Source organism: Homo sapiens, chromosome 10 (assembly GCF_000001405.40).
Source record: "Homo sapiens chromosome 10, GRCh38.p14 Primary Assembly".
In the NCBI taxonomy this organism is placed as follows: domain Eukaryota; kingdom Metazoa; phylum Chordata; class Mammalia; order Primates; family Hominidae; genus Homo; species Homo sapiens.
This window is the reverse complement of record NC_000010.11, coordinates 102478972-102506256: the sequence shown is the minus strand read 5'-3', so window position 1 is coordinate 102506256 and position 27285 is coordinate 102478972. Positions and strand designations below refer to the sequence as shown.

The window sequence follows — 27285 nt, the reverse complement described above, 5'->3', positions numbered from 1 at the left end:
AAGCTTGCAGCAGGAAGGAAAAAAAAATTGCCCTTAGTCCTTTGCACATGCTTTCATACCTTTTACATACAATTCTATCCTTTATGGCTACTTGGGTGACATAAAAATAGTTGCCTGAATCTGTGTAGGGATTTCTCCTCACACTCAAATGAGGCCTGAACAAACAGCGTGGCAGAGCCAGGCCCACTTCTTTTTTTTTTTTTTTTTTTTTTTTTTTCAAATAACAGAGTTAGGGTCTGGCTACGCTCCCCACACTGGTCTCGAACTCCTGGCCTCAAGGGATCCTCAAGGCCTCCCAAAGTGGTGGGAATACATGCATGAGCCACTGTGCCCAGCCCAGGCCCACTTTTCTCCTGACACATGACAACAAGTTCATCACAACACATAGTTAAATATAAAGGCACAATGAGAATGGGTCATTAAGCTAGCAAGAGCTGCTTTCCACTCAGAAGCGCTCTTCAACAACTCCTCTCAACCAGAGAACAGTTCGCCAGTGAGAGAGGACTGCGACACCAGTTCCACCTCCTCCCGTCTACTCTGACAGAGGAGGCTGTTCCCTACAATCCTCCCTAGACAGCAGGTGGCTGGTCCCCAGGCTCTCCACGCTGTTGGCCTCTTGGCATCCTCCCATTGATGCGGGCAGCTGGCCTCAGCCCTGCACAGCCTACTGACACCGATGTCCAGGGGAAGCAACAGGTTTTCACCAGGAGGAAGACTCAGTCCTAAAAGGAGAGGTAACCAGCAAAGATGTCCACTTGCCCCTTCAGGTCTACCCTTTGGCTACACCCCCAAGCAGCTGCAGAACAGTCTTTCAAGACTCATTGAAGATCATCTTACACAATGCCTGCATGAATGTGGTCCTGGACAGTTTCAACCAATATCTCAGTTTTTGGTCCAGCAAGACTTTGAGGACAGGTTCTTTTCCAGAGTCCCCAGAACATCTGTTCTGCCCAAATGCTGAAGGAAGAAACAGGCTGCAAACAGGAATGGGAAATTAGAAAAGACCATTCCTACCCTAAAGCTACTTGAGGGTTACTCTCAGCTCCCCGGAGAAACTGCAGGCCATGGCCGAGAAGCTCCTCTTAATGTCCCACTGCACAATTCCTCCCTGCTGGGGTCCCAGAGTCTCCACCATTTATTTCCAACTGGAGGTGGGAAGCTGTCGGCCCCTTCAATCCTAAGCCAAACCATGGTTCTCTCTACCTAATGCCCTAAAGCGAAGCAACTGCAGAGCTAGGAGGAAGCTCTGCACGGAGAAAGAGAACAGTGCAGAGTAAGCAAAAAGTTTATCAGGAAGAGCTGCTCCGTCAAACTTCAAAAGCAAAAGCTTTGCCCTGATACGACGTCTGAGCTAATCGGGAAGGTATCAAAAGGAGACCTCCTCCTCTCTCCACAAGCACCAGGCCCTCATCTTTGGCCCTCCTACCCACCACAGGAGAGCCCTGGGCCCCCCGAACCCCCCATTCTATGCAGTCTCGTGCCCTCTGAGCTTCTTCGGCTTCGCTCCTCCAAAGCCCTCTCAAATGCTCCCCAGGCCCCGCCTCGCCTCTCCCATCCCACTTCGGCCGCCCCCGCTTGGCTTCCCCTCGCCCACTAATGACCCCCTACAGGCGCCCCCTCTTTTCACCACGTTTACAGTTCCCTCGCTCCTGCCGTTCCCCCCTCTGCTCCTACACACACCCCCAGTCCTCACTCTATTCTCCTAATCCCGGTTAACCCCTCAGTACCCACGGGCTCCGTTAACCCCTTTGTCCCCATTCCCAACTTGAGCCTTAACTCCTTCCCTCGCAGCAAGAAGCCCTCCTTCTGAGTGCTTTAACCATTCTCTACCCCTCCTCCCACCTCCCACAAATTACTTCGCCCTCGGCGCTTTAACCCTTTCCAGCCCGCGCCTGTCCGTCTCCCCGCGGCCCAGAGCATACCAGTACTTGACGATAGCGGTAACCTGGAGCGGGTTCGGCTGGTCAGGGTAAAGGCGGCGGCACTCTCCGTAGATGGCGTGCAGTCCCGGGGGAAAGAGCGAAGCGAAGGCCGGGGGGGCAGTCGGGCCAGGGGCCGGGGGCGCGGTGGGGCCGGGGGCGCCGCTAGGCCGCAGCTCCGCCATCGGGGTGCGTAGGGCAGGCACTGGGGGAACTGGAGAGGGCAAACGACGGGGAGAGCACTGACGGGCCAGCGGGCGGACTCGGTGGGTGAGACTCCCCGAGGCGATGGGGGCTGCAGCGAGGTCTAGCTCCGCGCCTGCGCACGGCGCACTGTCCGCCCAGGCTGTCGCCGCCGCCGAGTCTGCCAGAGGGTGCCTCGGGGCGGCGGGGCGCTAAGGGGGGCGGGGCGCCGGCGCACCCTATCCAAGCACCCATTGGCTAATGTCTGTGCCAGTCACAGGCAGGGAAGGTGTGACTTGACAATAGGCCCCGCCTCCCCTCCCTGTGTTGGGAGTGTCCCAAGGCTCTTGGTCTCCCCCTAGTGTTAGGAGGAACCCAAGTTTAGAGATGCTGAGCACCCTCTGAGGTGCTAAGGTCCCACGAAAGCAGCGAGAAGTGCGCCAACAAAGGATTTGTTACTGTTTTGCTGACGCGCTGCTAACTAGGATTTAAACATAAATCTGACAATGGATTGATTCATTCATCCATGGGGCGTTAGTATTAATAGATGATAATAAATCTAATGTTTTCTAGGGCTATTGACAAAAAGGTCCCTGAAATTTCAAGGGGGCTGGGGGAGAACATAATCCAGAGAAAAAAATGCACTGGGCTCATTTGAAAGCAGTGACACATAACCTCTCTTCACCTCCATTTTCTCAACCATCAGTGTCAATTCTAGCTCGTTATGAAAATTAAAGAGATACTCGAGCAGTTTCTGAAACCCTTAGATGATGTTTTAATGACCAAAAGATTACCTATACCAGTAGTTCCAATTGCCAATCTTCGGATCAATGTTAGCCTGTTATGCAGAAAAAAAGAAAATGCAAAAGGCAACGACAATGTACAGGTTTTTAAACTTAAAGCTAATTTTATGCAATTTAAATTGTTTTCCTTTGTTGTAGGAATATGTCCTCTCGCGTACGTGTGTTAACATTTCCTTTTTGTTAGAGTGTGAGGTGCTAGGAGATGTTTATTAAAGTCTTACAGACCCAAATAAAAACATGAGAACCTTATATTGTCTAAGGGAACGTCGGGGGGAGTGGCAGGGCTGATCTGCAAAATCCAAACATCCATGAATTACGACCAATCCAAACCGAACTACAGACAAGTACTCGAGAAGACTACATACCTCAGCATGCACTGCGAACTCCTTCAAAGGGACTACAGATCCAGGCATGCAACATGACCATCAACCTGTGTCTCTGGCTGTTTAATCTAGGGAGACCACAAATCCCAGGGTACTGCGCATTGGAAATGCGACTCCCAATCTTAAACTAGGCGGGCAACAAAGCAAGCTAGATCGCTAACCCAGGCGCAAAGCTTGCTGGGGATTGTAGTTCTTCAGAGGCGAGGTCGGGCCGCTCCCTCGCCGCCCTGAACCGGCGGCTAGACTGCGCATGCGTGTCAGTGGCGCTAGCGGCGGACCCGGCTGGGCAGTTCCTTCCCCAGAAGGAGAGATTCCTCTGCCATGGAGTCCTACGATGTGATCGCCAACCAGCCTGTCGTGATCGACAACGTGAGTTGCGTCTTTCCTATCTATAAGGGGACTTGGGCTCTCCTCCTCGAAAGGATCGCTTCCCGGGGTTCAGCCTGAGCCGCCGGCTCTTTGTCACTGGCCCGGCCTGTCAGGCGCGTTCAGCCACCGCCGCCTCCTTCCTCCCCTTATCACATAGTCCGCAGGCAAGGCGGCCAGCCAGCAAAAGTGGGATGGAGAACTCTGGAGTGGATAAAGGAAAGAGTTATAGTCCAAGCCAGTCCTTGGGCCCTTGGCTCTAGGGGCCTTAACCGCTGTGTGAGATTCCCGTCGCCCGCCCTCTCCCCCATTTCCGATCGCTCTATTGGTTGCTCTGGCTGTCCATCTTAGCCAATGATACCGCCTCTTAGCCTTGCCGGATGAGGCTAGGCCTCTGCGGTGATTGGCTCACGCCCCTGCCATTCTTCCTTGCCGCCATATTGTTTTCCCTCTTGAAGGGGCGGGGCAGTGCTCCAGGGCTGTGGGGATTGGCTTCCGGGACTCTGGGTGGTGGGGCCTAGAGGCGAGTGCCCGCCCGCGGGTGGAGAACGGCTAAGTTTTCCTTCGGTCTCAGCCGGCGCTGCGGCTTGGTGGTGTGGATCTGGGTGGGGCCCGAGAATCTGGTGCCAGAAACCGCTGTAGGATGTCAGCTATTACTGTGATTATAAATTACAAAGTTGGTAAAGGTCGAGAAGAAAGGAGAGTGACAAAGGAAGCAGAGAGGTTGTCCTCCTCTTTGGAACGCCTAGTTCTTACGGGGAAAAAATTACCAAACTTAATATTTGCCTGGCGCTCTAGCGCTTCCAGGGCGTTTTCACATACATTCGAGTTGGATCCTCACAAAAACTGGACGCATAGTTTAAAAGGAACTTTGATCTTCGTGTTACCGATGAGAAAACTGAAGCGCGAAGACGTAACGTGAGCCCAAGGTCACATAGCAGAGGTGCCCTAAATCCAGTACTTTATCCGTCATCCCTTTTGCCAGCACCACCATGCAGAAGCATCAATATTGACCAATAGAAAGAATCTAAATACTGCTCTTATTTTGGGGGGAAAGGAGAAAATTGTAAAACGACTGCATTTCTGCCTTCGATTCAAAGCTTTGGTCCCACAGAGATTGATCCCTGTCTGTGTCCCTTGTAGGTCCCTCCATTGAGGCAAAACTACCAGTTCCCTCTGTTGTAAGCTGACTCTGTCAGATTCCCTTTGTTGATTCAGCTCTTGGGACCTTAGGCATATTACAATGTTCTCGTTTAAGCTTCAGCTCTGTTAGGTAGATAGGAATTACTATCCCCAGTGTATGCAGGGATGTTAAATAACAGATTTCAAACCATCCAGTTTAGGAATTGAGGAGCCAGTCATCAGACTAAGATCCAGTTCCAAGTTGCTTGCTTTTTCCAATATATTTTTGTTGTTGTTTTCATTAAATTTTCCTTCTCTCCATGGGTATTTTGTTTTTATTATTCCCCCTTAGAAAGGGGCAGGATTGAGCTCAATGAGACAGCTCATTTTTTTTTTCTTTTTTTTTTTTGGAGACAGGGTCTCGCTCTGTTGCTGAGTCTGAAATGCAGTGGCGCGATCACAGCTCACTGCAGCCTCAACCTCCTGGGCTCAAGTGATCCTCCCGCTTAAGCCTCCCGAGTAGCTGGGGCTGCAGGCACGCGCCACCACCCCTGGCTAATTTTTGTATTTTTTGTAGGAAGGGTTTCACCATGTTGTCCAGGCTGGTCTCAAACTCCTGGGCTGTTGCGATTCTCCTACCTTGGCCTCCCAAAGTGCTGGGATTATAGGCCTGAGCCACCGTGCCTGGCAGAGACGCCTCTTTTTTTGGTGTGGGGGGGTGGAGGGAACAGGATCTCGCTTTGTCACCCAGGCTGGAGTGCAATTGTGCGATCTCAGCTCACTGCAGCCTCCGCCTCCAGGTTCAAGAGATTCTCCAGCCTAGACTCCCAAGTAGCTGGGATTACAGATGTGCACCACCACGCCTGGCTAATTTTTGTTTGTTTGTTTGTTTGTTTGTTTGTTTGTTTGTTTTTGAGACGGAGTCTCACTGTCGCCCAGGCTGGAGTGCAGTGGCGCGATCTCGGCTCACTGCAAGCTCCGCCTCCCGGGTTCACGCCATTCTCCTGCCTCAGCCTCCCGAGTAGCTGGGACTACAGGCGCCCGTCACCTCGCCCGGCTAATTTTTTGTATTTTTAGTAGAGATGGGGTTTCACCGTGTTAGCCAGGATGGTCTCGATCTCCTGACCTCGTGATCCGCCCACCTCGGCCTCCCAAAGTGCTGGTATTACAGGCGTCAGCCACCGCGCCCGGCCTAATTTTTGTATTTTTAGTAGAGATGGGGTTTCACCATATTGGCCAGACTTGTCCTGAACTCCTGACCTCAAATGATCCACCCGCCTTGGCCTCCCAAAGTGCTGGGATTACAAGCATGAGCCACCACACCCAGCCCAGATACTTCATTTTTGAGAGGATCTTTTTGTCTCCCTCACTAGACTATTAAATCCTTGTGGAAAAAGATGATATTCTCCCACAGGTTTAGTGGTGTTGGGAAAAAAAATTTAAGAAAGATGATATTCCTTTAGTCTCACTTCACCCACTTCTCTCCACACACACACAGTATACCTAGGGTCTGGCACCTCTGTGTGCTCAATAAATGTTTTTTCATTGGATTGATGGGTGATTGGATGAATGACTGAATATCTCTATCAAAGTAACAAAGATATTCCTAAATAAAGAAAAGATGGGGAGTTTTCTCTAGTTAGTTACTGCAGATAATTGAGTAGGACTTTTTGTTCTTGATGTTGATTTTCAGAGAGCACTACGATTTCTGTCTTTAGCCAGGCTCTTTGTGCTTCTTCTGCCTTTTTCTTAGTTGTAAAAAGGAAAAATATATAGAAATTCAATTTCCTGTTTTCATCAGCAATGCAGAAGGAACAACCTGTCTATCCCACCAGCTCCTTTGCTTCTTGAATTGCTAGGCAGGAGTTCCATCTCCGGCCATTTTCTTTAATATCACTTACACTAATGCGTCTTAATTTTTTTCTTTCTCTTTCCTGGTAGTATGTTTCGAAATGCATTACAGCAGTGATGCATTTTTAGTTTCAAGATTTAAAGAATTGACTTGTCTTTTTTTTCCCCCTCTGGGAAAACATGTCCTTTATTATGCCAGTATTTCTGCCAAAAGGTGAAGTAGGAGAAACTTAAGTCATTTTCCTATTAGTATTTGCTGAAAATCTGCCACATTTTTACATGTGCGGTCTCAGGTAGTCCTTGTTGTTTAACATTTGGGGGGTCATTTTGTTTTTATTATTTTCAAGATGGTAGATGTATAGGAAACATTATTTGAAATACCTGAGACAACTTATTACATATAATGAGAATAATGTATCACTAGCTATGTTAACTCCATAGCTTAACATGTTGCTACACTTTATTTATGGGCAGAAGAGTATAATCAAAAGAATGCAGGAGAAAGAAAGCAGGGAAAGAGCCCCATTAAGTTCACAGCCTTTCCCAATCATAAGACAATTGTGACCACGTCTTTCATCTTACTCTGGCATCAAGTCATTTCATCAGAATTTAATGAGGAAAATGGAGGGGCAGGTAGGTGTGTGCTTTAATGACAACAATAAAGTGATAGGTATTTTTTTAATCACCCAAGAAGCTTTATGATGATAGATATTTTTTAAAACCAAATATAAGTCATTTCTTCCCAAAGACATAGAGAATAGTGTAAGATAGGAGCAGCTCCTAGGCCACATTTTGAGGACTACACTTTGATCAGAATACTATGTTTATTCTGAAACTCAAATTTTTCCTAAGATCCAGGCCAAATGTGGTGGCTTACTCCTGTAATTCCAGCATTTTGGAAAGCCAAGGCTGGAAGATCGTTTGAGCCCAGGAATTGGAGACCAGCCTGGGCAACATAGTGAGACTTCATCTCTACTTTAAAAAAAAAAAAAAATTAGCCAGGCTTGCTTGGTGGCATGCACCTGTAGGAGGCTGAGATGGGAGAATCACTTGAGCCCAGGAGTTTGAGGCTGCAGTGAGATCGTGCACCTCACTCCAGCCTATTTAAAAACAAAAACAAAAAAACTCTAAGTTTACAGTTTTGCCTGAACCTAAAATGGATCAACATTCCTGTCAAACTTAAAACTGTCTTTGTGACTATATGGACCTAAATGCAGGCTCTTCAGAAGTTCAACAATAAGCTAAGCATTTGTTTGTTTTGCTTTGGATGTTGTGCTGCTTCAGCCCCCTTTAAAAAAAAAAAAAGAGAGAGAGAGATACTTTAAACACACAGAAAAATTCGGTGTGGTATATAACAAGCACCCAGGTAGCATGTGTCTACTACCCAGATTTAGTAAATATTGATGTTGCCATATTTGCTTCAGTATTTTTTTTGCTTTAGTGTTCCCATCCACCTTCATGTTTTAAGGAAATAAAACATTACAGATATAATTGAAGACTCTTTGTACCCCTCCACAACCCTATCTTTTTTTTTTTTTTGAGACAAGGTCTCACTCTGTTGCCCAGGTTGGGGCTCATTGGCACAATCAAAGCTCACTGCAGCCTCAGCTTGCCAAGCTTAAGCAATCCTCCCACCTCAGCCTCCCAAGTAGCTGGGACTACAGCCGTGTACCACCTGCTCAGCCTTTTTTTTTTTTTTTGTAGAAATGGGGTCTCCCTGTGTTCCCCAGGCTGATCTAGAACTCCTGGGCTGAAGCAGTCCTCCCACCTCAGCTTCCCAAAGTGCTGGTATTACAGGCATGAGCCACTGTGCCTGGCAACCCTATCCTTTCTCTCTGTTTTACAAATAATCCGCAAAACAACCATCATCATAAAATTGTCCTCCTTTTATACTCTGGAAGATAAGTCAGGAGAATTGTGTTGTTCAAGGCCAGCCTGGGCAATACAGCAAGACCCCCATCTCTTTAAAAAAAAAAATTGTGCTCCTTTCCACCTATGATTTTTTTTAATTTTTAATTATTATTTGTTTTTAAATTTTTTTTAGAGATGAGGTCTCACTCTATCACCCAGATTAGAGTGCAGTGCTGCAGTCGTAGCTCACTGCAGCCTCAAACTCCTGAGCTCGAGCAAACCTCCTGCCTCAGCCTCCCAAGTAGCTGGGAGTATAGGAGGAGCAAGCCACCATGCCTAGATCCATCCATGATTTTATGTGCATATGCATTTTAAGTTTGGCAGGGGAGTGTGCTGTTTGTGTTTTGAAAGTTTACTTAAGTGCTATCATCCTACTGTTATCTCTTTTTATTATAGCAATTTCAAACATACAAAGGAGAAGGAATAGTGTAAGGAACATCCATACGTTCACCTAGCTGTAACAGTTATCAAACTCTTGGCCAATCTTTTCAACTACATTCCTGCCCATTTCCCTCTCCCACATTCTTTTTTTTTTTTTTTTTTTTTTCCTGAGATGGAGTCTGCTGTGTGGCCCAGGCTGGAGTGCAGTGATGCTCACTGCAACCTCCACCTCCGTGGCTCAAGCGATTCTCCTGCTTCAGCCTCCCGAGTAGTTGGGACTACAGGCATGCACCACCATGCCCAGCTAATTTTTGTATTTTTAGTAGAGACGGGGTTTTGCCATGTTGGCCAGGCTGGTCTCGAACTTCTGGCCTCAAAGGATCCACCCGCCTCAGCCTCCCAATGTGCTAGGATTATAGGCGTGAGCCACCACGCCCAGCCCCACACTCATTTAAAAACATAATCAATATACTATTATCATGCCTAATCAAATCAACAAGAACCCCTTAATCTTATCAGTTATCTAGTCAATGTTCAGATTTCACTAATTGTCTAAAAAAATTTTTCTTTTACAATTTGTTATCAGCTTTTCTGATCCTACTAATGCTGATTCACTTAAGTTTTTAGGGACACTAGAATTAGCTGAGGAAATGAAGTCAATGTATTTATCTAACACTGTCACTTGCAGTGTGATATTCAGGCTGTTGGTTGTACAGCTTCAGCAAGAATCCATCCCTAGCTTGACAGAAAAGGTGAAGAAGAGGTGACTTATAAAGATATTTTCACTGTTCAATTATGTATATTTTGCAAGCCAAGGATGTGCTTCACACTGAGCTAAGTCCTCTGAGGGTAAAAAAGAAATCAGATACCATGTGGAAGAAGAAACGTCACCAATTAGTGGCTGCAAATGCCTAGAATAGGGATTTCAAATTCAATGCCTGCAGAGGCCAAGCAGGAATGGAAATATACTCAAAAGAGAAGAGAGAGAATAGCCTGAAAGGCACCTCTTCCAGGCTGGGAAATCTGAAAGGTGCATTGAATTGAGCATGCCTGACCAAAATGTTAACTGATTCTCCTTTCTATCCAATTGTCCCCATGCAGGAATACCGGCCTAGTGTTGCCAGATATTCTGATTTTTAAAAATTTGTGTATTTATCGAGGTCAGGAGATCGAGACCATCCTGGCTAACATGGTGAAACCCCGTCTTTATTAAAAATACAAAAAATTAGCCAGGCGTGGTGGCGGGCACCTGTAGTCCCAGCTATGCAGGAGGCTGAGGCAGGAGAATGGCATGAACCCGGGAGGCGGAACTTGCAGTGAGCCGAGATCTCGCCACTGGACTCCAGCCTGGGCAACAGAGCGAGACTGCGTCTCAAACAAAAACAAAATAAAATAAAAATACAAAAAAATTAGCCAGGTGTGGTGGCAGGCGCCTGTGGTCCCAGCTACTCGGGAGGCTGAGGCAGGAGAATGGCTTTGGACCCGGGAGGCGGAGCTTGCAGTGAGCCGAGATCACGCCACTGCACTCCAGCCTGGGCGACAGAGCAAGAGTCCGTATCAAAAAAAAAAAAAAAAAAAAAAATTGTGTATTTATTTATTTATTTATTTTGAGACGGAGGCTGTCTCTGTCGCCCAGGCTAAATTGCAGTGGCGCAATCTCGGCTCACTGCAACCTCCCCCTTGTGGGTTCAAGAGATTCTCCTGCCTCAGCCTCCCGAGTACTGGGACTATAGGCACGTGCCACCACACCCGGCTAATTTTTTTTTTTTTAGATGGAGTCTCGCACTGTCGTCCAGGCTGGAGTGCAGTCGCGCAATGTCTGCTCACTACAAGCTCCGCCTCCTGGGTTCACGCCATTCTCCTGCCTCAGCCTCCAGAGTAGCTGGGACTACAGGCGCCCACCACTTCACCCGGCTAATTTTTTGTACTTTTAGTGAAGACGGGGTTTCACCGTGTTAGCCAGGATGGTCTCAATCTCCTGACCTCGTGATCTGCCCGCCTTGGCCTCGCAAAATGCTGGGATTACAGGTGTGAGCTACTGCGCCTGGCCTTATTTTGAATTTTTTGTATATATTTTTTGAGGCAGAGGCTCACTCTATCGCCCAGTCTGGAGTGCAGTGGCAAGATCACAGCTCACTGCAGCCCTGACCTCTTGGGCTCAGCCTCCCAAGTAGCAAGGACTATGGACCCGCACCACCACACCCGAGTAATTTTTAAATATTTTGTAGGCCTGGTGTGGTGGCACATGCCTGTAATCCTAGCACTTTGGGAGGCCAAGGCGGGTGGATCACTTGAGATCAGGAGTTCGAGACCAGCCTGGCCAACATGGTGAAACCCCCTCTACACTAAAAATACAAAAATTAGCCGGGCGTGGTGGCGCACACCTGTAACAACAACTACTCAGGAGTCTGAGACAGGACTATCGCTTAAATCCAGGAGGCGGAGGTTACAGTGAGCCGAGATTGTGCCACCGCACTCTAGGTGGGTGACAGAGCCAGACTCCATCTCAAAAAAATTAAAATTAAAATTAAAATTAATATTTTGTAGAGACAGCGTTTTGCCATGTTGCCCAGGCTGGTCTCTCGAACTCTTGGCCTCAAGCAATCCTCCCTCATCTGCCTTCCAAAGTGATGGGGTGACAGGCGTGGGCCACCGCACCCAGCCATACTTTTTGTTTGTTTGGTTGGTTGGTTGGTTGGTTTTGAGACAGGGTCTTATCTTACTCTGTCATCCAGCCTGGAGTGCAGCAGTGCAATTACAGCTTGCTGCAGCCTTGACCTCCCAGACTCAAGTGATCCTCCAACCTCAGCCTCCTGAGTAGCTGGGACCACAGGCACACAACCACCATGCCCAGCTAATTTTTGTATTTTTGTAGAGACGGGGTTTCGCCATGTGCAGGCTGGTCTCGACCTCCCGGGCTCAGGCAGTCTTCCTAGCTCAGCCTCCCAAGTAGCTAGGAGTACAGGCACACATCACCATGCCTGGCTAACTTTTTGGTATTTTTTGTAGTGATGGGGTTTCTCCATTTTGGCCAGGCTGGTCTCAAACTCCTGGCCTCAAAGTGATTTGCGTGCCTCGGCCTTCCTAAGTGCTTGGATTATAGGCATGAGTTACCACACCCAGCCAAGACTACTCAAGAAGCCTCTACCAGGCATTTTTTCATTTGGCCTTGCCAGAGTGAATAACAAAGACAGTGGCAGCTTATTTGCCAGGTACACAGTTCCTAGTTGTAAATACTGTTAAAGAAATGGACATAACCCTTTTGTATGCTCTTGAGCAGAATTTGTGTGGCTTGAGCAGAATTGAGGCAGCTCAGCTGCTCCTCATTCTCCACTGATTCTTCACCCTATGACTGGCATGGCAGGCCTGCTTGGGGGCTGCAAGGACACGCTGGGTCTGGTTCCACCTTGTGCATCACTCCCAGTGCTGCTTTCCCCTTTGCTGAACCGCCTCTGCCTGGGGCTTCTGTCATTTCAGCTGGTCATTCAGGTTCCATACTTTAGGTTCTATCTGCCAGTCATTTGCACTTGATTTTAATTTTACTCAGCCAGCATCTGTTGAGTACCCAGCAAATGCCAGATACTGCCAAAATGTATTTTAGCCTTAAGGAACTTCAACTGAAAAGAGACGAAAGTGGAAACCTTACATTGTAATAAAAAGCAGAATGAAGTGCATGCCACCTCGTGGTACAGGTAATGGAAATTTGCTGTGAGATAATAGGAAGATGATCATTCATTCCAACTGGGGATGTTTCTTCAGGAGGAAGGTGATGATATTTGAACTGGGCTTTTTATACTCTTTGCTAGGAAGGACAGAGAAGAAAAAACAAATCTGACTTCATAATCTGCCTGTTTACCCAGACTCTAGTCCTTTTGCTAGTAAACTAAAAATAAAATACCCAGGAAAATCATCTCTTAAAAATATCCAGGGTCTGAAGGACAGATCTCATCCTCTCTTGTTTTTAACCTCTGCCGGGAGACCCAATTAGTCTGTTGGCATCACCACACCCAGATGAAGGCAGTGAGCAATCATTGGAAGCCTGAGCAAACAAGTTCTAGGAGTTCCCCCCTTGCCTGTCCGTGCCTTGCTCTCAGAGCCCTTGGGTTTGTAGGCAAATTGCCCCTCCTTCCCAGTCTTTCAGCTCACTTGACAGCTGCACCTTTTCCAGGCTCCTTGTTGTACTGCCCAGTCCAATGAGTTTGCACATTGTCTTCTGTTTTCACTCTCTTCTGTTGGCAAAGATTCCTGCTCCCTTAGAGAACTGGCTGCCCTGCTCTCCTCTCATACCACTTTCTCTGCCCTTCAACCACTTCTTTTTTTTTTTTTTTTTTTTTTTGAGGTGGAGTCTCACTCTGTCTCCCTGGCTAGAGTGCAGTGGTGCGATCTTGGCTCACTGCAACCTCCACCTCCTGGGTTCAAGTGATTCTCCTGCCTCAGCCTCCCTGAGTAGCTGGGATTACAGACGTGTAGCACACCTGGCTAATTTTTGTATTTGTAGTAAAGACAGTGTTTTGCCATGTTGGCCAGGCTGGCCTTGAACTCCCTGGCCTCATGTGATCTGCCCCGCTTCGGCCTCCCACAGTGCTGGGATTACAGGCGTGAGCCACCACACCTGGCTTCCTTCAACCACTTGCTTCCTCCACCAACCTCTGTCTTGCCAAAGGCAAGCACCAGATGGCCAGTCTCACTCCCCCTCTTCCTGCAGAAGAGCAGGAATAAGAGAGTCAAGGAGGGAAGCAGGCATGTTGCTGGGAAGCCTTTGGTGCAGATAACCTTGGCTACTTAGAGTCTCCAGGTGTGTTCAGTGCTTGTAGAATGAGGTCAGTAAATACCACACTCCACCCCAGGAGAGTGGTCAACAGGCAGCAGGAAAAGGCTTGCCCCAGCTACGGGTGCAGCTGCAAACCATGTTGGGTTAGAAAGGTGAGGGTATCAGGTGTGGTGGTAGAAGAGTTAAGAAGGAAGAAGAGGCCAGGCGCGGTGGTTCATGCCTGTAATCCCAGCACTTTGGGAGGCCGAGGCAGGTGGATCACAAGGTCAGGAGTTCGAGACCAGCCTGACCAACACGGTGAACCCTCATCTCCACTAAAAATACAAAAATTAGCCAGGCATGGTGGTGCGCGCCTGTAATCCCAGCTATTCAGGAGGCTGAGGCAGGAGAATCGCTTGAACCCAGGAGGTGGAGGTTGCAGTGAGCTGAGATTGTGCCACCACACTCCAGCCTGGGTGACAGACCGAGATTCTGTCTCAAAAAAAAAAAAAAAAAAAGGCCGGGCACGGTGGGCTCACGCCTATAATCCCAGCACTTTGGGAGGCCAAGGCGGGCGGATCACGAGGTCAGGAGATCGAGATCATCCTGGCTAACACGGTGAAACCCTGTCTCTACTAAAAAAAAAAAAAAAAAATTAGCCAGGCATGCTGGTGGGCACCTGTAGTCCCAGCTACTCAGGAGGCTGAGGCAGGAGAATGGCATGAACCTGGGAGGCAGAGCTTGCAGTGAGCCCAGATTGCACCACTGCACTCCAGCCTGGGCGACAGAGCGAGACTCCATCTCAAAAAAAAGGAAGAGGACAGGGTGTATCTACAAGCAATACTAAGCCTTGACATCTGTCCTGCACAGGGTTGGTCTCTGTGTCCAGAGTCACTGTTTACATTGATTGGGCCCTGGGTGGTACCTGAGATGCTGGGAGAACTCAGATTCTTTTCTGGACACCTCACTCGACATACCAAGTGTTGGAGCAGCAGGACTGTGGTTCTCTTCTATTCTCAGAGTAGGCTTTAGTCTTTGCTTCTCTTTACCATCAGGAGACCAAGGAGTAAAAGGAAAGCATAGTTAAAAAGAAAACAACAACAAAAATCTCCCAAAGCATCGTGCTCTGCCCTTGCAATAAGAACCAGACAGCACGTGTTCCATGGGAGTCCATTTCAAGCATGACAGTGCTCATGGCGGTGTCTGTCACAGAGGCCCTGGAAGCTGGGAGAGTTCAGGCCTGAGCTGGGAAAGTAGGTTAAAAGCACCCCAGGGTGGCGTAACAAGGAGTCATGTGCTTTTCCTACCTTATGTTCCTGAACTTGGCTGCTTTGATGCTTCTAGGTACTTTCTTCTTTCCCCAGGTTTTCTGTCTTTTTCTTCCCTTTATTACTAGTATTTTTAATTCCCAAAGCAAAACATGTTCAATGTAGAAAAGTCAGAGACTACAGAAAAATCACACATACGGTTGTGTATACAGTGAGAATCCTCCTCACCATCCTATTTCCACTTCCCTTCTTTTGGTGTGCATTTACCTTTTTCTAGGTTCAAATAAATGTATATATTATATACAAATATTAGTTTTGTTTTTTTTTTCCTGTGAGACAGAGTCTGTCACCCAGGCTGGAGTGCAGTGGCACAATCTTGGCTCACTGCAACCTCTGCCTCCCAGATTCAAGTGATTCTCCCACCTCAGCCTCCCAAGTAGCTGGAACTACAGGTGCCTGCCAACATGCCCAGCTAATTGTTGCATTTTTACTAGAGACAGGCTTTCACCATGGTGGCTAGGCTGGTCTCAAACTCCTGACCTCAAGTGATCCGCCTGCCTCTGCCTCCCAAAGTGTTGGGATTACAAGTGTGAGCCACTGCGCCCGGCCGCTTTCTTTTCTTAAATAAAAATGGTACCATATAATGTATTTTTCCTTTTGTATTTGTGATAGTTCTGACTCCTCATTCTCTCTCCTCTTTCCTCAGGGATCCGGTGTGATTAAAGCTGGTTTTGCTGGTGATCAGATCCCCAAATACTGCTTTCCAAACTAGTAAGTCATTCTGTAGCTTAGACGTTTTGGAGGCTCATCAGCTTTGTTACAGGCCCAGCCCTATAAGGGACAGGAGCCGAGTTTGGAGTCAACAAAGGAAAACAGTTGTCTACATGGTACAATTTGAGAGGCACAGATAAGAGGCCTCTTTTTAAAAATCCAATTTTATCTGATGCTAAAAAATTTTATCATTGGTAACTTATTGCTTTGGAGGATTGCCTCTTGGTGGAGCCCTCCTTTTAAAATTCTCCTATCACCCAGGCTGGGGATTAACATTTAACCCATCTACCATCTTTTTTTTTTTTTTTTTTTTTTTGAGACGGAGTCTCGCTGTGTTGCCCAGGCTGGAGTGCAGTGGTGTGATCTTGGCTTACTGCAAGCTCTGCATCCCGGGTTCACACCATTCTGCCTCAGCCTCCCGAGTAGCTGGGACTACAGGCGCCTGCCACCGTGCCTGGCTAATTTTTTTGTATTTTTAGTAGAGATGGGATTTCACCGTATTAGCCAGGATGGTCTTGATCTCCTGACCTCATGGTCTGCCTGCCTCGGCCTCCCAAAGTGCTGGGATTACAGCCCTTCTACCATCTTAATGAGGAGTTTCTCAGAACTTTCCTCCTAAGACAGAGAGACTGCAGGCAGGAGAAGAGCACAGAGGCTTACAGGAAGGGCTTAAAGGGGGAGGAAAGGAAGAGGCTATCTGTCCGATCTATAGCATCACAGTTTTTTTTGTTTTCTGAGATGGAGTCTCATTCTGTAGCCCAGGCTGGAGTGCAGTGGCGCAATCTCGGCTCACTGCAACTCCTGCCTTGCAGGTTCAAGCGATTCTCGTGCCTCAGCCTCCCAAGTAGCTGGGATTATAGGCATGTGCCATCACGCCCAGCTAATGTTTGTATTTTTAGTAGAGATGGGGTTTCACCATGTTGGCCAGGCTGGTCTCAAACTCTTGACCTCAAATGATCCACCTGCCTCAGCCTCCCAAAGTGCTGGGATTATAGGTGTGAGCCATCGAGCCCAGCCCAGCATCAGTTTTACTTAGAGGTCCTGGGAAGGGGACTAAGGACACTAAAATGTTTTGAGTTAATCACTCCTTTAGAAATTCTCATTTCCTCATCTTTCTTGGTCTGTTCATACACTGCAGAAAGAGAAGAACTAGAGGTATTAAATACTCTAAAAATTTGTTTTCATAATTTATAATAAATATAAAATATGAAATAATATATAAATAATACATGTTCATTTTAGAAATTGTGGAAAATACAGAAAAGTATAAAGAAGAAAATCAAAATCAACTGTGACTTCACTCCTTGAAGATAATCTCAGTAGAATTTGAGTGTGTATGTACATCTATACATCCTTCCTGTGTTCTGTCATGAAATGAAAAATGATGGTCCTCCTCACTGTCTTTTCTAGTGTGGGCCGACCCAAGCACGTTCGTGTCATGGCAGGAGCCCTTGAAGGCGACATCTTCATTGGCCCCAAAGCTGAGGTAATTCCCAGGCCTACAGAACAAGCCTTAAGCCAGCAGAGGACCTTCATTATTCACCACATGGAACATGTCCCAACATTTGGACATACCCATAAGTAAAAGGGGCAACTTTCTCTGAAAATCTCCTTTTTGATTCTCTCATCCTAGGCTTAGGTGGTTTATTTTTCCCAGGAACAGCCTGTGGTCTTGGAGAAGAAAATACCTGGGACCTCACTTTGGGACACACTGAGACCAGTCTAGGAAACAGGGCTGTTGTCTTCTGCATCCTGTCACTGCCTTGTCAGTGATCAAATTTACTGTGTTTATTATTTTTTTCACAAAAAATATTCAGTGGGGAGATCCTGGCTGGGGTACCCTAGGGATGAGTTAATTCACACAGCTTTGTCAGAGCCCTCATGCAGCCTCTTGTAAGCAGATAGCAGAATCGCTGTTGCCATCCTTGGCTTCAAGTGCTGAGGCCCAGAGGTGGGAGCCAGGAGATTGTGTCCTGGAACCAGGCAATGAGGAAGATGCCTCCTGCCACTTGCCCTAGAGGCACCTGAGGGGCCATGGAAATGCAGAAGCCCCTGCTTTGCCGGCTCCTCGGGAATGAGGGCAGTTTGCAGCAAACAGTATTTAGCCTTGGAGAATGAGTGCCCACCCTTAGCCCTGGGCAAGGACAGCAGGGTGGAAGCTCAGGAAGCTGAGGCTTCTTTGCAAGGGATTCAGCTTGCACTGCTTAGTCTTGGGAGAACAGGGTCCTGGGTGGAGCCTGACTGCAGTCGTAAGTCCTGTTCTCTTTTCCCAGGAGCACCGAGGGCTGCTTTCAATCCGCTATCCCATGGAGCATGGCATCGTCAAGGATTGGAACGACATGGAACGCATTTGGCAATATGTCTATTCTAAGGACCAGCTGCAGACTTTCTCAGAGGAGGTGAGGATCCTGTGTGTAGGGCACTCCTGTAGGGTATGCAAAGCTGTGTCAAACTCCTACCCTAGAGATGATGAGGAGGACGATGATCACTGCCAAGAGTGCTGGAGCCATTTGATTTTCAGGCATATTCAGATTTAATCTTAACACCATTCCTATGAGATATAGGTAGTATTATCTCATTTTACAAACAAGGGAACAAGTTCAGAAAAGCCAAGTCGTGGCCGGGCGCGGTGGCTCACACCTGTAATCCCAGCACTTTGGGAGGCCGAGGCGGGTGGATCACGAGGTCAGGAGATCGAGACCATCCTGGCTAACACGGTGAAACCCTGTCTCCACTAAAAATACAAAAAATTCTCCGGGCGTGGTGGCGGGCGCCTGTAGTCCCAGCTACTCCGGAGGCTGAGGCAGGAGAATGGCGTGAACCCGGGAGGCGGAGCTTGCAGTGAGCCGAGATTGCGCCACTGTGCTCCAGCCTGGGTGACAGAGTGAGACTCCGTCCCAAAAAAAAAAAAAAAAAAGAAAAGCCAAGTGGTATTTCCAAGGTCACCAAGTGAACAAAGGGTAGAGATGGAATTCAAACCTATGTCTTTTAGAATTCAAAGCCTGTGCTCATTAACTTCTTTCACCCAGACTGGAGTGCAATAGCTCACTGCAGCCTCGACCTCCTGGGCTCAAGTAATCCTCCCATCTCAGCCCCACCCCCCACCATGCCCGGCTAATTTTGTGTGTGTGTGTGTGGTGGGGTTTTGCTCTTGTTGGCCAGGCTGGAGTGCAATGGCGTGATCTAGGCTCACTGCAACCTCTGCCTCCCGGATTCAAATGATTCTCCTGCCTCAGCTTCCCAAGTAGCTGGGATTACAGCATGAGCCATGGCACCTGGCAAATTTTGTATTTTTTGTAGAGACAAGGTTTTGCCATGTTGCCCAGGCTGGTCTCGAACTCCTGGGTTCAGGCAATCTATCCGCCTCCACCTCTCAAAGTGCTGGGATTACAGGCGTGAGCCACCTTGTGCAGCCTGTGCTTATTAACTTGTAAGGAAGTAACTCTCCATTCAAAAATGTAAAGGGAGGCTGGTCACTGTGGGTCATGCCTGTAATCCCAGCACTTTGGGTGGATCTCTTGAGCTCAGGAGTTTGAGACCAAGTTGGGCAGCATGGCGAAACACCACCTCTACTAAAAATATGAAAAAAAAAAAAATAGCCGGGTACAGTGGTGCGTGCCTGTAGTCCCAGCTACTTGAAATGATGAGGTGGGAGGACTGCTTGAGCCTGGGGGCATCGAGGTTGCAGTAAGCCAAGATCGCACCACTGAACTCGCAGCCTGGTGACAGAGTGAGACCTTGTCTCAAAAAAAAAAAAAGAAAGAAAGAAAATGCAGAGAGGTGCAGACTAGGTGTATCAATTTCCAGGTGCAGGTGGGATGTTTTCAGTTTTGGGTTTTTTTTGTTTGCTTTTTTGAGATGGAGTTTCGCTCTTGTGGCCTAGGCTAGAGTGCAATGGCGCAATCTCGGCTCACCGCAACCTCTGCCTCCCAGGTTCAAGCGATTCTCCTGCCTGAGCCTTCCTGAGTAGCTGGGATTACAGGCATGCACCACCACCAAGCCCGGCTAATTTTGTATTTTTAGTAGAGACGGGGTTTCTCCATGTTGGTCAGGCTGGTCTCGAACTCCCGACCTCAGATGATCCGCACGCCTCAGCCTCCCAAGGTGCTGGGATTACAGGTGTGAGCCACCACGCCCGGCTGTTTTCAGACAGTTTTTTTAAAGCAGTGGTCCCCAACCTTTCTGGCACCAGGGACTAGTTTCTTGGAAGACAGTTTTTCCATGGGGGTGGGGGTTTGGGGTGGCCAGATAGTTTCAGGATGAAGCTGTTCCACCTCTGATCATCAGGCATTCAATTCTCATAAGGAGTGCCCAACCTAGATCCCTCACATGCGCAGTTCACAGTAGGGTTCACACTCCTATGAGAATCTAGTGCCTTGGATGATCTGATGGGAGGTGGAGCTCAGACAATAATGCTCGCTTACCTGCCATTCACCTCCTGCTGTGCAGCCTGGTTCCTAACAGGTCACAGACTAGAACTGGTCTGCGGCAGGAATTTAGAGTTTCACAAAATCTTCTTGACAGTTGGAGATACACAGTAGACACAGGGGCCTGTATAACAATCTTGGAGGACAAGGAGGGGAGTTGGGGGGCACAGCTGAGGACAGAATGAAATTTTAAAGTGGGCATTAACTTGAAAAGTTGAGAAAACTACTTGGGCAGGGATAGTTGACAGGCACAGCTTGCCTTTTTTTGGAGTGAGGCTGACTGAAGTCCCCGGGCTCTCAAACCAGCAAGGCAGGGTCTTCTCCCCTAAGACTAATGAAGATGGAAATCTGGCCTTGGCCTCATTGTCTCCCGGGCTCCTTTCACCAGCATCCTGTGCTCCTGACTGAGGCGCCTTTAAACCCACGAAAAAACCGGGAACGAGCTGCCGAAGTTTTCTTCGAGACCTTCAATGTGCCCGCTCTTTTCATCTCCATGCAAGCTGTACTCAGCCTGTGAGTAGCAGCTGGCTAGCCCGGCCCCTGCGGGGAAAGCAGTCCTTTGGCACAGCTGAGGCTGGCTCTCCTCTGGAATGGTTCAGAGTAACTTGAGCCCCCTCTGCTAGGGAAAGGTTAAAGATGGTGGGAAAGAGAGAGAGGCTTTTGCTGAAACTGAGCACTGAGGCTTCGTAGTTGAAAGCAAAGAAGGACATGTGGCTGCTATTGACCATATCCCAGTGTCAGGACTCCTAGTGGGTTTGGTCCCCAAGGCCTTGGCTGGGCCTGCCGAGGCAGCCACATGCTGCAGCAGCTCTTCCCGGAGGCCCCCGTAATGTGTCCACTTATTATTCAGCACTTACTGTGGCCAGCTGCTCTGCCAGGCTGTGAGACAACCATGATCCGAATGCCACCACAGTCCTTGTTCCCATCCCCCGTGGCTCCTGTCACACTCCTACCCCACCTCACACCAGAGTGAGGTCTACGGCAGAGATTATCCACAAGTGACCTACACGTGGGATTTATTTGACCCCATTAACAAACTGTGAGCCAGCATTTAAAAATCAAGAGGTGTCCCATCAAAACCCAAATTTTTGGCTTCTCTGAAAAAATGGGAAGATCTGGGAAGGTCGGGCACACATTCCCACAGGGCAAAAATCAGCTGGAGCTGAAGAGCGGCTGCCACTTGAGATGGGGCTGGCAAGCCCACCCTCCCCACAGCCTGTCCATGCTCTGTTGGCCTCTCCGCACTGAAGCAGGGGGTCAGTTGCCTCACTTGCCTTTTTTTGGAGGGAGGCTGACAAAGGTCCCCGGGCTCTCAAACCAGTAAAGCAGGGTCTTCTCCTGCCTTTGTTTTTTATGGAAGTGAAAAATATTCTTATTTTTCTTTACTCTTACTTTTCCTGCCTGGCCCCTGTTGACATTTGAGGGTTTTTGCCTTTTGTCTAGAGAGTTAAAACTGGCCCCTAGGCTGGGTCTCTGAAGCAGCTGAAGGCCAGGCCATCTCAGACAGGAAGGCCTGCTCTTCTGGGTACGGGGAGGGAACTTGGAGAAGATCAGCAACTTCCGTTCAGGTATTTCATGGCTTGCTCCAACACCTGGGCTTCCTTAGTACCCAGTCCATTCTACAGACCCTGGAGAGAGGCAGGCCCAAGCTTTAGTTTAGCTGACATTGAACCCTAAATAAAGAAGTGTATTTCTTCCCAGCGTGAGGAGGCAGTGCTGAGTGACGGTTTGCCCCTTTGCTTCAGTTACGCTACAGGCAGGACCACAGGGGTGGTGCTGGATTCTGGGGATGGAGTCACCCATGCTGTGCCCATCTATGAGGGCTTTGCCATGCCCCACTCCATCATGCGCATCGACATCGCGGGCCGGGACGTCTCTCGCTTCCTGCGCCTCTACCTGCGTAAGGAGGGCTACGACTTCCACTCATCCTCTGAGTTTGAGATTGTCAAGGCCATAAAAGAAGTAAGTGCTGCCCCCTGGGCCTAGGGATGGAGTGGGGGTTGGGAGCATAGCACCCAGGACCTTGGTGACCTGCCAGTGAAGCCAGGCAAAGCACCTGCCTGGGGGTCCCTGGTGAGGCCTTGTTCTTCCCAGCCAGGTCTCCCCTACGTCACACTGACAGATTCGCCTTCCTGACGTGCTGCCATCTTGTTGGGGGAAAGGGAGCTGCTTCCATTTCTTCAGTTGGGTGATGGCTACATAGGGGCTCAGTATGTTTTTTATACCTTATATGCAAATTACATAGGGTTTGGTTTTGTTTCATTTTGTTTTGTTTCTGAGATGGAGTCTCGCTCTGTCGCCCAGGCTGCAGTGCAATGGTGTGATCTCGGCTCACTGTAACCTCTGCCTCCCGGGTTCAAGCAATCGCTTGAATCCTGCCTCAGCCTCCCAAGTAGCTGGGATTATAGGTGCCTGCCACCACACCCCACTAATTTTTGTATTTTTAGCAGAGACATGGTTTCACCATGTTGATCAGGCTGGTCTCAAACTCCTGACCACAAGTGATCTGCCCGCCTCAGCCTCCCAAAGTGCTAGAATTGCAGCATGAGCTACCGCGCCCACTCCTGGTTTTTTTATTTTTATTTTTTTAACATCCTTGAAGAAGTCATAATACATTTAAAACATTTGTCTTTGTAAGTAAACTGAAACCTCCTGCCACCTGTGGCTATAGGGAAAACTCGAGCTGGGTAGGACCAGAACCATATGAGTGGTAGAAGGAGAAAGATGCCTGGGCCTGGGCTGAACTTAGGTTGTGGTCTCAGACCTAGGATCCAGGGGCCAAGTTTCCAAGCTTGCCCATCAGGAAGGTGGAGCGGTTAAGAACTCATATGCTAAATGCCACCCAGTGAAGGCCAACAGAGACCTCACTGCCCCTGCTTCTGGGCAGCAGCTATAGTGACCATTGGGGCCATCACAACGTTTAGACAGGTTTGTGCAGCAGCACATTCCTCCCCTGGGCCTTTGACTGGATGTGCACCAGATTTCCTGCCAGCCTGACTGTCTTGCTTGGATCTGCAGAGAGCCTGTTACCTATCCATAAACCCCCAAAAGGATGAGACGCTAGAGACAGAGAAAGCTCAGTACTACCTGCCTGATGGCAGCACCATTGAGGTAGGTGGCCTGCCTTCTTTCTTCGGTCCCCTTAGGTCCACAAAAGCTCTGGGCCCAACCAGAATTCTCCATCAGGGTCTGGAGTCTGGCAGGCCAGTCCCTTTACACCAAGCTTGTCCAACCCCTGGCCCATGGGCTGCACGTGGCCCAGGATGGCTTTCAGTAAGGCCCAACACAAAGTCGTAAACTTTCTTAAAACATTATGAGATTCTTTTGCAATTTTTTTTTTTAGCTCAGCAGCTGTCATTAGTGTTAGTGTATATTATGTGTGGCCCAAGACAATTCTTCTTCCAATGTGGCCCAGGGAAGCCAAAAGACTGGACACCCCAGCCTTACACCCTCTCTCTGGAGCAGCAGAGCTCCTGAGCATGAGTGGCCCTGTCTCCTGCAGAGGAGGCAGCCAGAACTTTGCTCCCTCCCGCTAGAGGGGAGGAAGCTCCTAAGGGATTGTCCCACATCAGTATGAGATTAGGAAGTGGGATGGTTAGTGCCATCCTTCACCACACCTGGGTGCAGTGTAGGGTGAGTTACCACTCCCTTGAACCCCCATTGCTAGGAAGACGTTTCCATGAGCAAATAAATCCATGTACTGATGCCAAAGACCTCTTGGCTGGAAAATGCCAGAGCGAGAAGGAAATATAGGAGCCTCCCCTCACTAGTTTCCAGGAGGCCTATCTTTGTTCCTTTAAGCCCTTGACATGTAGAGTCTGTCTTGAGCCTGGCCTTCATAGCCACCCAGTTACTAAGTGACGTGCAGAGGGGCGTCTTCCATTCCCACTCCCAAAGGGACCTTGGTCCCAGCTCCGACCTCTTCAGCTGGCCCTCCTACCTGCAGATTGGTCCTTCCCGATTCCGGGCCCCTGAGTTGCTCTTCAGGCCAGATTTGATTGGAGAGGAGAGTGAAGGCATCCACGAGGTCCTGGTGTTCGCCATTCAGAAGTCAGACATGGACCTGCGGCGCACGCTTTTCTCTAACATTGTCCTCTCAGGAGGCTCTACCCTGTTCAAAGGTTTGTCTCTTCTCTTGGAGCCCTTCCCCTGGAAGTGTTCAGCTCCTGCTGGCTCCAGGCACCCTGAGAATTGACTTGAAGTTCTCCTCTTTGCCCATTCAGGTTTTGGTGACAGGCTCCTGAGTGAAGTGAAGAAACTAGCTCCAAAAGATGTGAAGATCAGGGTAGGAGCATGGTGGGGCCTGGCCTGGGTGGAACTAGGCTTCCATGGACAGAGTGCCACCTGGCGTAGCTTCCCTCTAGCTTTGCCCAAGCTCTTCAAGCAGCCATGGCTCTACAAGCAGCGCCAGGTTCCCAGCCTGTACACTGACCCTGAGGTCTAGGTCAGCCACAGGGAGGCTGAGTTCTCATTCTCCCTCTTCACACCAAAGGCAGGCAGTTCTAATACCCAGATGAGGCAGGGTACTAGGTAGAGGGCCCCCTGCGTGATCTTTCAGGGAAACTATAATCTTAAGAGGAGACTGACTTACTGTTGCTGTGCCCCCTGCCCAGGTGGCTCCCCTGTCACACAGTCTGACACCTTAGTGATAGGTGAAGGAGGTTGGCTGTCTGAGGAGAGCGGGGATCCTAAAGGAAGGAGTACAGTTCTTGCCATGGAGTCTGCTTCTCCCTGCCCCCCCCAATAGTCCCAGCTTCCCTGGGACCTGTGGGGACTGGAAACCTGCTTCCCCAGATGAGTGGCAGGCTGGCCACAGTGCCCTCCAGAGAGGCCAGAGCTTCAGGCTTGTGTAAAATGTATCCCCTGCCATGGGCAGAAAGAGGAGCATTGTAGGGAAAGGGAGCGGGAGGGCTGGAAGTCTCAGATTCCTCTTTCCCCCACCTTTGCAGATATCTGCACCTCAGGAGAGACTGTATTCCACGTGGATTGGGTGAGTAGCTCTTCCAGGAGTAAGAACAGAACAGGAAGTGATGGCACTGATAACCCCTCAGCACCCTCTAAAGAAAAGCCTGATTTGGTTTGGCCCCAGGGGACTGGTAGGCTCCACACACAGCCACTTCTCTCTCACACAGTTCCTCTGGGTTTCCTCCCTCCAGGGGCTCCATCCTTGCCTCCCTGGACACCTTTAAGAAGATGTGGGTCTCCAAAAAGGAATATGAGGAAGACGGTGCCCGATCCATCCACAGAAAAACCTTCTAATGTCGGGACATCATCTTCACCTCTCTCTGAAGTTAACTCCACTTTAAAACTCGCTTTCTTGAGTCGGAGTGTTTGCGAGGAACTGCCTGTGTGTGAGTGCGTGTGTGGATATGAGTGTGTGTGCACATGCGAGTGCCGTGTGGCCCTGGGACCCTGGGCCCAGAAAGGACGATGAACTACCTGCAGTGGTGATGGCCTGAGGCCTGGGGTTGACCACTAACTGGCTCCTGACAGGGAAGAGCGCTGGCAGAGGCTGTGCTCCCTCCTCAGGTGGCCTCTGGCTGGCTGTGGGGGACTCCGTTTACTACCACAGGGAGACAGAGGGAGGTAAGCCATCCCCCGGGAGACCTTGCTGCTGACCATCCTAGGCTGGGCTGGCCCCACCCTCACCCCCACCCCCAGGGTGCCCTGAGGCCCCAGGCAGCTGCTGCCTCCACTATCGATGCCTCCTGACTGCACACTGAGGACTGGGACTGGGGTTGAGTTCTGTCTGGTTTTGTTGCCATTTTGGTTTGGGAGGCTGGAAAAGCACCCCAAGAGCTATTACAGAGACTGGAGTCAGGAGAGAGCAGGAGGCCCTCATGTTCACCAGGGAACAGGACCACACCGGCCACTGGAGGAGGGCAGGAGCAGTCCTCACTCTGAATGGCTGCAGAGTTAATGTTCCCAGCCCAGTCCCCTTTCGGGGGCCTTGGGAGAGTTTAAGGCACCTGCTGGTTCCAGGACCTCGCTTTCCATCTGTTCTTGTTGCAATGCCATCTTCAAACCGTTTTATTTATTGAAGTGTTTGTTCAGTTAGGGGCTGGAGAGAGGGAGCTTGCTGCCTCCTGCCTTGCTACACTAATGTTTACAGCACCTAAGCTTAGCCTCCAGGGCCCCACCTCTCCCAGCTGATGGTGAGCTGACAGTGTCCACAGGTTCCAGGACCATTTGAGATTGGAAGCTACACTCAAAGACACTCCCACCAGGCTCTTTCTCCCTTTTCCTCTTGCTCACTGCCCTGGAATCAACAGGCTGGTTGCTGGTTAGATTTTCTGAAACAGGAGGTAAAATTTTTCTTTGGCAGAGGCCCCTAAGCAAGGGAGGGGTGTTGGAGAGCCAGTGCCCTTAAGACTGGAGAAAGCTGCAATTTACCAAGTTGCCTTTTGCCACTGTAGCTGACCAGGGGACTAGGTTGTAGAGGTGGGAAGGCCCCCTCTGGGCTGATCTTGTGCCATTCTTGACCTTGGACCTGCTTGGTTAAGGAGGGAGTGGGCCAGACCAGAGTGCCAGGAGCTAATGGAGCCAGGCCTGACTCCTAGGAGTGGTCCAAAGGCCTTCAGCCTAGATGGTGCAAAGCTGGGGCCAGCCTGTCTTCACCGGCACCCTCACCTGTGACACCAAGACCCACCCCAATCCCAGACTTCACACAGTATTCTCCCCCACGCCGTCCTATGACCAAAGGCCCCTGCCAGGTGTGGGCCACAGCAGCAGGTATGTGTGAAAGCAACGTAGCGCCCCGCGGACTGCAGTGCGCTTAACCAACTCACCTCCCTTCTCTTAGCCCAAGCCTGTCCCTCGCACAGCCTCGCACAAACCACATTGCCTGGTGGGGCCCAGTGTACTGAAATAAAGTCGTTCCGATAGACACGTCAGCTGGGCCTCTATCTGTCTGTCACCAGGGCCAAGTGGAAAGAGGAAGAGCAGCAGGCACTGAATCTGAGGTGGTGACTGGGCCTGATCCATCCTCTAGAGGGCATCATTGCACCAGCCAGCCTTGTCCAGAGCATAGCCCAAGTCCCAGCCTGTCAGGTGGATGCAGAGAAAAGGGTGATCACACCACAGCCTAAGTTCAAGAACAGAAGGTCCCACTCCTGTGTACACTGTAGCCCATGGGTGAGACTCAACTCCA

The 27285-nt window shown here is 49.4% G+C and overlaps 2 protein-coding genes across 13 annotated transcripts in view, besides 6 other annotated features; one reads left to right on the top strand and one right to left on the bottom strand.

Moving 5' to 3' along the window:
- Window positions 1–3438, bottom strand: part of SUFU (SUFU negative regulator of hedgehog signaling) — a 130717-nt gene extending 127279 nt beyond the window's left edge. For 6 of the 11 annotated variants that reach the window (XM_011539858.4, XM_011539861.4, XM_011539860.4 and 3 more), the window contains exon 1: window positions 1923–2285. In XM_011539858.4, coding sequence (XP_011538160.1) covers window positions 1923–2104 — 182 coding nt within the window. In that variant the 5' untranslated portion in view covers window positions 2105–2285. Of the gene's footprint in view, window positions 1–837; window positions 975–1922; window positions 2286–3270 lie in introns of those variants that run through there. The other 5 variants (XM_047425336.1, XM_047425337.1, XM_047425338.1 and 2 more) reach the window with 3 other exon arrangements.
- Window positions 598–1098: an enhancer, noted in NCBI's record as "H3K4me1 hESC enhancer chr10:104264916-104265416 (GRCh37/hg19 assembly coordinates)". NCBI's record gives its function as "activates a minimal SCP1, AML or CMV promoter by ChIP-STARR-seq in naive H9 embryonic stem cells {active_cell/tissue: H9 hESC(naive)}" and the evidence as "EXISTENCE:reporter gene assay evidence [ECO:0000049][PMID:30033119]".
- Window positions 1391–1685: a silencer, noted in NCBI's record as "tiled region #236; HepG2 Repressive DNase unmatched - State 2:TssF". NCBI's record gives its function as "represses a minimal TATA promoter and a strong SV40 promoter by Sharpr-MPRA in HepG2 cells {active_cell/tissue: HepG2}" and the evidence as "EXISTENCE:reporter gene assay evidence [ECO:0000049][PMID:27701403]".
- Window positions 2000–2469: a silencer, noted in NCBI's record as "silent region_2764". NCBI's record gives its function as "represses an Ori minimal core promoter by ATAC-STARR-seq in GM12878 lymphoblastoid cells {active_cell/tissue: GM12878}" and the evidence as "EXISTENCE:reporter gene assay evidence [ECO:0000049][PMID:35858748]".
- Window positions 3147–3216: a silencer, noted in NCBI's record as "silent region_2763". NCBI's record gives its function as "represses an Ori minimal core promoter by ATAC-STARR-seq in GM12878 lymphoblastoid cells {active_cell/tissue: GM12878}" and the evidence as "EXISTENCE:reporter gene assay evidence [ECO:0000049][PMID:35858748]".
- ACTR1A (actin related protein 1A) lies at window positions 3545–27028 on the top strand. Of its 2 annotated transcripts, NM_005736.4 has the most exons (11): window positions 3545–3657; window positions 15644–15708; window positions 17119–17194; window positions 17982–18107; window positions 20524–20648; window positions 21881–22097; window positions 23154–23246; window positions 24082–24256; window positions 24359–24420; window positions 25085–25125; window positions 25292–27028. In NM_005736.4, exons 1-11 carry the CDS (start codon window positions 3610–3612, stop codon window positions 25392–25394), a joined length of 1131 nt encoding a protein of 376 aa, NP_005727.1. In that variant the 5' UTR covers window positions 3545–3609; the 3' UTR covers window positions 25395–27028. The 2 variants fall into 2 exon arrangements, with proteins under 2 accessions (NP_005727.1, XP_047280383.1); XM_047424427.1 differs by lacking the exon at window positions 15644–15708.
- Window positions 3567–3666: an enhancer, noted in NCBI's record as "active region_3938". NCBI's record gives its function as "activates an Ori minimal core promoter by ATAC-STARR-seq in GM12878 lymphoblastoid cells {active_cell/tissue: GM12878}" and the evidence as "EXISTENCE:reporter gene assay evidence [ECO:0000049][PMID:35858748]".
- Window positions 5061–5561: an enhancer, noted in NCBI's record as "H3K4me1 hESC enhancer chr10:104260453-104260953 (GRCh37/hg19 assembly coordinates)". NCBI's record gives its function as "activates a minimal SCP1, AML or CMV promoter by ChIP-STARR-seq in primed H9 embryonic stem cells {active_cell/tissue: H9 hESC(primed)}" and the evidence as "EXISTENCE:reporter gene assay evidence [ECO:0000049][PMID:30033119]".

What these genes read in the sequence shown, in the direction of transcription:
- ACTR1A (NM_005736.4), top strand. Translation starts at nt 3,610, where the DNA reads ATGGAGTCCTACGATGTGATCGCCAACCAGCCTGTCGTGATCGACAAC. An exon ending in ATGCAAGCTGTACTCAGCCT is followed by an intron (nt 20,649 to 21,880) that starts GTGAGTAGCAGC and finishes CCTTTGCTTCAG; the next exon opens with TTACGCTACAGGCAGGACCA. An exon ending in CTGTATTCCACGTGGATTGG is followed by an intron (nt 25,126 to 25,291) that starts GTGAGTAGCTCT and finishes TCCTCCCTCCAG; the next exon opens with GGGCTCCATCCTTGCCTCCC.